At 35.1% G+C, this 10,147-nt stretch overlaps 3 annotated features.

Moving 5' to 3' along the window:
- Nucleotides 1-5,287: part of a biological region, named in NCBI's record as "albumin (ALB) 5' regulatory region", that runs on past the window's edge. NCBI's record gives its function as "regulatory_interactions: AFP | ALB | LOC111832670".
- Nucleotides 330-550: an enhancer, noted in NCBI's record as "E1.7". NCBI's record gives the evidence for it as "EXISTENCE:reporter gene assay evidence [ECO:0000049][PMID:1321810]".
- Nucleotides 5,207-5,287: an enhancer, noted in NCBI's record as "E6". NCBI's record gives the evidence for it as "EXISTENCE:reporter gene assay evidence [ECO:0000049][PMID:1321810]".

Raw genomic sequence — 10,147 nt, 5'->3', positions numbered from 1 at the left:
GAAATTATTTTCTATAATCTTATGTTATTTCTTCTTCAGAAATGGGTACTAATTAACTAATAAAGCACAGAAGAGGAAAAAATCAAAGCTAGATGGATGATAGATACATAGATAGATAGGAAGATTTTTTTTAATGACTCAAGGGAGTCCTGAAAGGAAATACCAGACTTGTCTTTCTGACTACAGATGAACAGACATAAAACAAGTGTGCCTATTTTCCATTGAAGAAAAACAAGCATTTTTTCTAAAGCCAGAAAAACCTACATCTGAAAAGAAAAAAGAAACTATTCTAAGTTAAGAAAATAATTCTTTCTTGGATAAATTATGTCAACTTTTAACTTCCTAGAAATTGTAGGCATTATTTATTAGAAGTCAGTAACCAACTCTAGCTTTTTCCTTGTAGAAGTCCCTGGGAAAGGCCTACCCAAACATAAAATCCTTACTGTTGAATACAATTGTTACTAATTGACAAATTCAGGCCTTTGTCACTCTCACATATACTTTGTGCATACTTTTTCATTTAACAAATGAAAAGAATAATATTAGTCCATTTAGTTTTCACCACAACATTATAATGTAATATATTGTTAAATACAAAGAAACCTAAAAAAATCTCAAATTCATCATGACTGAATAGAAACTTTGAATTGATTTTCCTATATCTAATGAAGAGCCCTAGCTTTAAAACAAAATTGATGAAACCTAAAAGAATCTTTTCTTTTTTTTTTTTTTTTTTTGAGATGGAGTCTCGCTCTTTCGCCCAGACTGGAGTGCAGTGGCACTATCTCGGCTCACTTGCAAGCTCCGCCTCCCGAGTTCACGCCATTCTTCTGCCTCAGCCTCCCGAGTAGCTGGGACTACAGGCGCCCGCCATCACGCCCGGCTAATTTTTTGTATCTTTAGTAGAGACGGGGTTTCACCGTGTGCCAGGGTGGTCTCGATCTCCTGACCTCGTCATCCGCCCACCTCGGCCTCCCAAAGTGCTGGGATTACAGTCATGAGCCACCGCGCCCGGCCAAGAATCTTTTCTTACAGTACTAATGAGGCATTTTGCATATGTGCATCCTACTAAAAGATTAATAGTTTAGAAATTAAAATATTTAATTCTCAATGATATCTGCATACTTAAAATTAATGTTTCTTAAGAAATACTTGAACAATTGCATCTTCTGGATTTGCAAAGTAAAAATTTCTGCATTTTTCTCTGAAAACCTCTGGCATTAATTCTATATGAACATTCTATACTGAGAGAAATAAACCTACATAATTGTTAGTCATTTCTAAATTTCCTGTTCTTCAAACTTTGAAACTCTGTTTAGTCAGTCATCAACGGGCTCTGGCATGAGGGTAAATGCAAATATTTAGAGTAAGAGTTATAAATATGGTTTAGAGATTCTCTTTACTCGGTAAACAGAAAAATAGCCCCAATGATTTTTAAATGTTTTCTCATCTTTGTGGGAGAAGTTTAAAAATAGAGAGTAGTTAAGAAAAGTATTTTCTTTAGAAAGAATAAGTGTACTGATCATTTAGAAAAGAAAAAAAAAATACCTCAATTGAAATGTACATATACCTGGGATTTAAACCTGAGCCTTTAACCCTTTTGTTCTTTGTTTTGCATTCACTTTGACGTGATACAAAAGGCACAGTTTTTAAGTAGATAAAATGTCTCTGAACCGGTCTCCCATTTTCCAGCCACTCTAACAGTAACTTTAAATCCGCACCCTTCTGCTACCCTCAGGACTCCCGAAGCTTCTCACTGAGTCATTCACACCAGGTTTGCCCTCCATCTAGCAATCCATTTAGTCCAGCTTTTATGCCATCTCCCACTCTGATAGGTTATATTTCTGACTCTTCTTCTCTTAAAGATAAAGGGAAACATATTCATGGAAATGTAATAATATCTAATAATATCCTCAATATTTTATAAGAGACTTTCTATAAACAACCACTTTACCCAGAGTCATTCCAAAATACAAGAAATTTGGATTTGTTTGGAGAGAAAATTGGGGACAGGAAAATCTTACCATTTTTCTACTATAAAATAAACATATGCAGATCCTTCCTATCATGAAGAGCTTGTATTACTCTCTACAAAATATGCAAGAGTGGAAAAGTGAAAGACTGTTAAGCATCAAACTAACCAATTGAAACATAATCAGTAATTTAACTTCTTATTCACTTATGGAGATACATTTCCCTCAAAAAAAGTTAGAATGAAAGTGTATAAACTTATATAAGTATTTCTAATGCAAATAAAAATGTATAAACATATAGGTATTCTAATGCAAATAAAAAATTGGAATATAATCCAAACAATTGCTCCCTTATTTCCCTCCATAAGCCATCCCCCCAGATATTCACTTGAATTAGTGAGAAATATGGAATTGGCTGAAGATTTCATAGGGAATGAGGAGAAAAAAGGTTATATCATAAAAACCACCCTAGGTCACCATCTTTGGCTTGTCCCACCTTTTAAGTCCCTCTGCCCCCAGATCTTCCATGATGAAAGAGTCCCTCTCCTTGACTTTCTTCATGTTACACTGGGCCTCTGGAATATATATACATTCGAATTTCCTAACCTTTTACTTTAAATTTCTCAGTTCTTCTCCGTGTGGTTTAATTCAGCTCAGTGTCAGTTTCTAGCTGCAGAACTGGACATGCAGATCTGCATATATCTCTATGCCATATGGGTCAAGTTGGACTAAATTATCTTTAACGATCCTTCTACCTTGAACATTCTGCAATTCCATGTTTTCAATGTGACAGCCTTATCAAATGAGAAAAGGACCTGAGTGGTAGGAAAGAATATATCAAGTTAGGCAATTAGGATTCAAGTTTGAGAGCTTGTTCATTCCTAAGCCTCACAATTGCTCCTCAAGTATTACGCTCTAGCTAGTTCAGCTTAATATTTTTAAAGAATAAAAAGTTCATTTAAACTTATTTAAACTATATTAATGAGACTTTCTCATATTTTTTTATCAAGTTTTTCAAGTGCAAGAAAAATATAGTTAATGTCTGCAATCCATGTTTATCCATTCTTAATAAATTAACAACTAATAGAATCTATAAACATATAAATTGAAATTAATACTAATCCTGTCTCATAAGGATAGCCACAGATGGAAATTAAACAGAAATGAATGCACTTTGAATCTATTCATATTCTATATTTTAAACATGAAATTCAAGAAACTTGTTACTTAAGTTTAAAGTTATAAAATTGAACTTTATCAATCTTCTATAAAACAACTAAGATTGTATAGCTAAAATAGTCTCATGTTGAAATTTTAGTGGATAGAGTTTAGAATGTTTTTATTAAAAGGTATTTTTTCTTCTTGATGTCTTCTATAGCTTTAAGCTTTGCGAGATGTTTTGTAATCTTTTAGTGCCAGTTCTTAGCTAAAACTTTCTCAACCCGTAACCCAGCTGAAGCTTGGAATTTAAGCCTTGAAATTCTCAGGAGTTTTCCAAGAAGGTATGTGTGCGCTGACATCAATAAATGAATTATTTGATCCAAAAAAGTGTAAGTTTTAAGAAATATATCATATAAATAATTGGCAGATGTTCACTTTTTTGAGAGAAATTCATCTCTAGCCAAATTATAATAAACTACATAATATAAATGCTTTCAAAAATAATTGTAAAATATTTTTGGGTATATAAGCATTGAATTGTTCAGTATTAGTTTTTCATTATATAGATATTGAAAACAATAAAATTCTTTTGTTAGAATAATACTTTGAAAATTTGGTTTGCTAAAATCATTCAGTTAACAATAATATATTGCAACAAAAACATGCATTTAAATAAAACAAAGAACTAATTTTAGTAACATATGATGTTGACAATGGAACTCTTTTTCCAAAATGCTTCTGATTTACAGCAGTGACATAGTCTATGTATTTAACAGCAATAACTTAAGTTACTAGATAAAATACAGATAATTATTATTTTGATTCAATTTTAATTTTTAAATGTATACTGTTTATTTATTCAGTTATTAATGTATTGAAAGCAAATGGCTGTGTTTAAAGCATTTAATGTCTTGAAAGCAAATGGCTGTGTTGATGAGTCCAAACTTATATCTGCAGTTATGTGGAAAATTGACAAAAAATCCACATCAGAAGTGATGATACCTAAAAGTAAATATTGGCCAGCATCAACAAACATGCTAATTATTTAACAATAGCATTCTTGTTGACAGGGCACAACCCATAAGACAGTGTTTCATAATTATTTTAAGGAGCTGATTTCAAGGAGCTCACAATGTAACAAGGGATGCAGGAAAATAAGAAGATAATTATAGTGAAACATTATAAATTACTATGCATGTAGAATACAAGGTACTCCTGGGATAATAAAGAAGCAGTGGAGGAGAAGCTCTACATCCAAGGACAATCTCACGTGTAAATAAGCTGTGTGGGCTCTAACCTCCTTAGCTACCTATACAATCCAACAGACTTCAAATTTCAAATTTGTATTCACTGTGTTTATTTTTGCTTGTGAAGACAGTTTTCCTGGAGAAATGGAATGAGTAGGCAGAGGACTGAAGAAAGTAAGGAGGATATGATGATGTGTAATTTCTAAATGTTTCATAAAATATCAAAGCAAAGAATTAGATCCCAGCTTCAAAGACAATGAAACTTCCTGCAGAACCTTAAGAAAGAAAAGAAATGCAGGCTGGCAAGCAGAAAAAAAAAAAGCCGAGTTCGCAATTATCTGGGTTTTCAGGCAAAACTAAGCATGAAAATGATCATTTCTCTCTCCCATTCCACTGCCTTCTGTATACCTCAAACATCTATCTTTTAGGGGTCCCACCTTTCCAACCATTACCCAGCCTCTAAGTTCCATGTGCCTCCTTTCTAACATAAACCCCATACCAAAACTTCCCTTTCTTAACCTGTTGGCAAATTCGGGTAGGTCTTAAATATTAAAAATCTTACTAAGCTAATTCTACAAAATCTCACAAAACCTCTCCTTATCTGAACCTCATGCTCCTAATCTCATCAACACTCTATTTCCTCCCCCATACCTAACCTTTCTAGAATAGAGGCATTTTATTATAAAAGGGACTCCCATCATGCCAGTTAATTCCTAATGGATGGAATTTCAAACGGGTGGCAAAGTGGAAAAAGAACCTGAAACAGTGGTTCCACAGTTCTTCAAATCTCACCATGGGAATCCTATCCCACTAGAACAAAAGGTTAACTGACCCTTGTAAATAACTGTTAGGGTCTGAACTTTGGTGCCTGAACTTTGGAATCTCTGTTTGGCTGTTCAGAAAGCTTTTTTCCTTTTCTATTTGGGTCATTGAGGTTTTTAGATTAATGTTGCAGACAACAGAAATGCTACAATTTATATCCTACATCCCCAAGATAATAAGTTTCCTGAAAGCACTAACCATGGTTCATCCTCACTGTATCTAACACTAGATCCAGCTCATGCCTAGATACAGATAGATACAGACTAGATACAGAAGTCATTCAAAACTTTCATTGATTGTCAATTTAATTTGTCAGATCGAGTCAACTGTAGCCATATGGTAAATGGCCATGAGCACTTGATACCGTGCATCCTCTACATTTTTCTTTTCTCATTAGAACGCAATCCAGAAATTAGTGTAGTTAAAGGTATACCGTGAAGGTAAACAGGCTAGCAGAAGCTGCCTTACTTCAATCCTGACCAACTGAAGAGGTTAAAAATATTCTAGCCACTAGTCAAAACAGGGTCTATTTAAATGGCCCAATGATATATCCTATTGGCCCAGCAGCCACACCACAGTCATTGCCCAGAATGTTACTCAATACTTACAATGTGCTGTTATGGCTGGCTCTTCTTTGGCCTCCCCACTCAAATCCAAGTCCCAAACCAGTACTAATTCCCATTGATATTATTTTGTATTTGGTTTAGGTGAGTAGACAAAGGGGATGCTAAAGGAGTTTAAATATGAAAATCTTTCCAGTGACTCAACCACCCTGTGAAGCAATGTTTTTTGTTGTAGAGAAACTTGCTCATGGCCACTTACTACATTGGTGCAGTTGCTTCTTGATTAGCCAAATTAAACTAACAGCCACAAATCTGTCCATTCAGGGGTTGTTCTTTTGTTCACTCTTACTGTACCTTAAAATTGTTCATAATCCTGGAAAACATCAAATATGAAATGTATCTACAAGCATAGGGAGGGGAGGATATTGGGGACATTACTCACTAGGAAAAATCCAGTGTAGTTAAATATTAACACAGCTACCTTTATTTTTAAACTAAAACATATATTTTATAGTAAAAAAAATAGTGATGATATTTCATGCTATTTCTAATATTCTTTGTCATCCACATCCTGGGGTATATGTAACTAATTTATTCATGGGTTAGAAACTGTTCTGTTTGTAGTCATGATCATCTAGGAAAAATTTCTATACCCTGTGAACTCAAGCTTATTTCCTAATGCCATATGGCACAACCCCAAAATCTGGATTAGCCTTGACCTTTCTTCCGTAAGGGCCTCATTGCCAAAAATTTCTACAACACACCTACTATAGAAAGTTCCTAATTTTCAACTATCTTTAGAACAACTTTCAAACAGGGTCATGAAATAAATTTAGGATGTCATGGCCAGTATTGTTTAGTAAAATAAAATTAATAGAATAGAATTGATCAGGGTAAATTGCCTGTAGTGGGATTAGCACCATTTTGTAAAAGTTTTGCTATACATATGTATATCAGGTCATCATGTAAAATCTGTGTTTTACTCAGGTCACTGTCAAAAAAACTTGGAAATCCATTCCTCTTCATGAAACCCATTTGACATCACCTCAGCATGTCAGTATGTTCTTAGTCAATTGGCCAATTTCCCTCCACAACCCCCATCTAATTTTTTTTCCCAAATTTACCCATTTGGCTTATGATACTGTAAGTTTTCATGCCATAGCATTTGATAGCTTCGGAGTGCCTTTAATAATTTCTTCTCTTTAACTTCAAGTATCCAATATGTCCCTAAACAGTTTTGATCTATCTGTTAGTTAAATTGTTTTGACCCATTTTCACATTTATTCTTACTCACCAGGGCACTGAGGCCAGTTTGGTTCAGGCTCTCACCAAATCACACCTGAGTTATTACAATAAACTCTGAATTAATGATCATATTTCTAGTCCCTATCTACTCTGATTAATACCAAAACTTTCCTCTCCTTAAGATATTTTATTGGTTCCCCATTACATTTTAAATAAATGCCAAGCTTCTTGCTTTGGTATTCAAAATGTTCTGTAATCCATCTGGACAAGGTGGCTCAGACCTGTAATCCCAACACTGTGAAAGGCCAAACTGGGAGGATTGCTTGAGCCCAGGAGATTGATACTAGCCTGGACAATAAAGTGAGATCCTGTCTGTACAAAAATAAATAAATAAATAAATTGCCCAGATGTGGTGGTGCACACCTGTAGTCTCAGCTGCTCAGAAGCCTGAGGTGGGAGATTTCTTGAGCCCAGGAGTTTAAGTCTGCGGTGAGCTATAATCATGCCACTGCACTCCAGCCTGGCAACAAAGCAAGACCCTGTCTCCAAATTTAAAAAAAAAAAAAAAAGCAACATACTCTGTAATCTGATTCCACTAGTTTATAATGTCCCTGAAAGCAGAAGCTCTGTCTTTCTCCATCACAGCAGTATCCCCAGTGGCTAGCAGATGACTGGCGCATGTGTGTTCAATGTCTGTTAAACAGGTGAGTAGACAAATGAACAAATATGTGAAGAAATGATCTCCATAATATAATCTGTTATTCTCTTTCATGAATAAATTTTCCCATTAACTCAGTTATACTCCCTGTAACATTTTTTGCAAGCCTACAAGGTATTAAATGCCATACTAGATGAGAAGATGTGCAAGGTGCTATGAGGCCATCTTCCTTTTTCCCAGGGGGTCATGTTCATTTTCAGACACAAATCTCTGCTTATTGGGCTTTCTCCCACCATGATGATTTCCCCTGCTTTGTATCTATCTAAATCTTCCCATCTCCAGAGCACACCTCCAGACCTTCTCTTTTCCCAGGCTTACATTCTTCTCACTGTCTTCTGATGACCTGTATTACTTTGTTTTCATTCTTAGTTACATCTCTTGAATTTATAAGATTTTATTAAATTGTAATCATTTTATAAGAGTAAACATTTTCCCTATTCACTGTATTCTTTACAAAATCTCAGTTCAGTACTAGACAGTAGATAGTAATTAAACCTATGAATTAAATTCAGTGAGTAAAAAATTTCCAAGTGATTGTATTATGAAAAAACAAAGATTGCTATATCCCCATCTCTAGCAAATTTAAGATTCACATAAGTAATCACATACATTCCCAGCATGTAGCAAGTGCTCTATAAATATTTGTTGACTGAATGAATAAATGAATAAATAAATGAACAAATAAGCCACTTCCAGTCTGATGTCCATCAACTCCTTGATATCCATGAAAGTACAGTAAAAGTCCATGAGTTTGTTGCCAATAGTAGTTGAAAATAACAATAATAGAAATTTTGCATTTATTCATTATAAAGCTGCAAACACTAAAATCTTAAGTGTATTTATTTTGTATTAGAACTATATTAACTCTACTGAATCCCTGAGTGTGTGAGGGGAAAGAGGACAGCAGGGGATGCCCTGTTTGTTTAACAAGCACTTATAAAATGCCTTCAAACATGCCAGTCCCTGTTCTCAGCAGCGCTTTACCAGCAGTGGCATATTTGCTTCTCTGGTACTCTTACTAGAATAGCATTGTCATTATTGCATTTTACAATTGAGGAAACTGAGGTTAACATAAAGTAGCTAAGATTAAGTAACTTGCCCAAGGTCAATAGCTAGTGAACAAAACAGCAAAGAGGCATTCAAGATATATATATCCTATAATGCCTTTCAAAAAATTAGGACAACTATTCTCTGATAGTCCCTCAAAACTATTATTATGTTGACAAAGCTACATTCATTGCTATTGGCAATAGAAAATTTGGGAGAGGAGGGAAATTGAATTGCGACCTGAGATGAGGGTGTACCCTTTTTGTCTGGTGCTTTATTATTTGCTTATCTTAAATAGGCTTTCTAAGTGTCATAAGGGCTTCTTTGTACCTTTCCTGTAACCCACAGCAGCAAAACAGATCATTAGTACATGGGGCAGTACATGCCGAAGAAGAAAACAGACACTGGCAACCATGTTGGGAATGAGAAACATCCATGACTAGTTCTAATTTCAGAGTCTCACAATAAATCCAAGATGAAATCTACTATTTCATATTGCTTTATTCTACCATTTCTTTTTTCTTGAGACTGAGTCTTGCTCTTGTCACCCAGGCTGGAGTGCAATGGTGTGATTCCGGCTCCCTGCAACCTCGGCCTCCCAGGTTCAAGCGATTCTCCTGCCTCAGCCTCCTGAGCAGCTGGGATGACAGGCCCCGCTAATTTTTGTATTTTTAGTAGAGACGGGGGTTTCACCATGTTGGCCAGGCTAGTCTTGAACTCCTGACCTCAGGTGGTCCACACACCTTAGCCTTCCAAAGTGCTGGGATTACAGGCGTAAGCCACCGCATCTGGCCTATTCTACAATTTTTTAAACAGCCACACAAAGCTTTATTTTATATTTTAACTGACATTCTTTTTACTTATTACTTCATCACTGCTAGAAAACAGGTAAAAAGAATACTCTTTAAAACACTTAAAGTCTTTCTAACCTACACCAAGTTCTGCTCTTCTGGGAAGATTAGGTTTGAATTTGTTTTTGGTTTAGCTGTACTGATGATTACATCTGTGGAATTTGTTTAAAGACAGATGGTTGCTCAGATACAAAACTGCTGGATTAAGCAGAAGCAGAGTGAAGTGGAATGATAAATACAAAAATGCAAGCCATGTGAAGGCAGCAGTCAGAATAAAACCAGGTATTCATGAGAATGAGAGTCTTTCCAGTAATTACCTAGAGATTTTCTGGGTGAGATATACAGTCACTTCATAGAACTACCGCTGCACATTTTTATCTATTTCTTATTTATTCACCGAGCTCACTCAAATGAATATCTAGTGTCTGTTCTATTTCCCACATATTTCTAGTGTCTGAGCTAGGTACCACATGAAATATTATCGTGTATTGATTAAGAGCACTAGTTTGGAATTAGACTT

The sequence above is a fragment of the Homo sapiens genome, chromosome 4 (genome assembly GCF_000001405.40).
Source record: "Homo sapiens chromosome 4, GRCh38.p14 Primary Assembly".
NCBI lineage: Eukaryota > Metazoa > Chordata > Mammalia > Primates > Hominidae > Homo > Homo sapiens.
The sequence above is the reverse complement of the archived record's forward strand: the minus strand, read 5'-3'. Positions and strand labels throughout refer to the sequence as shown.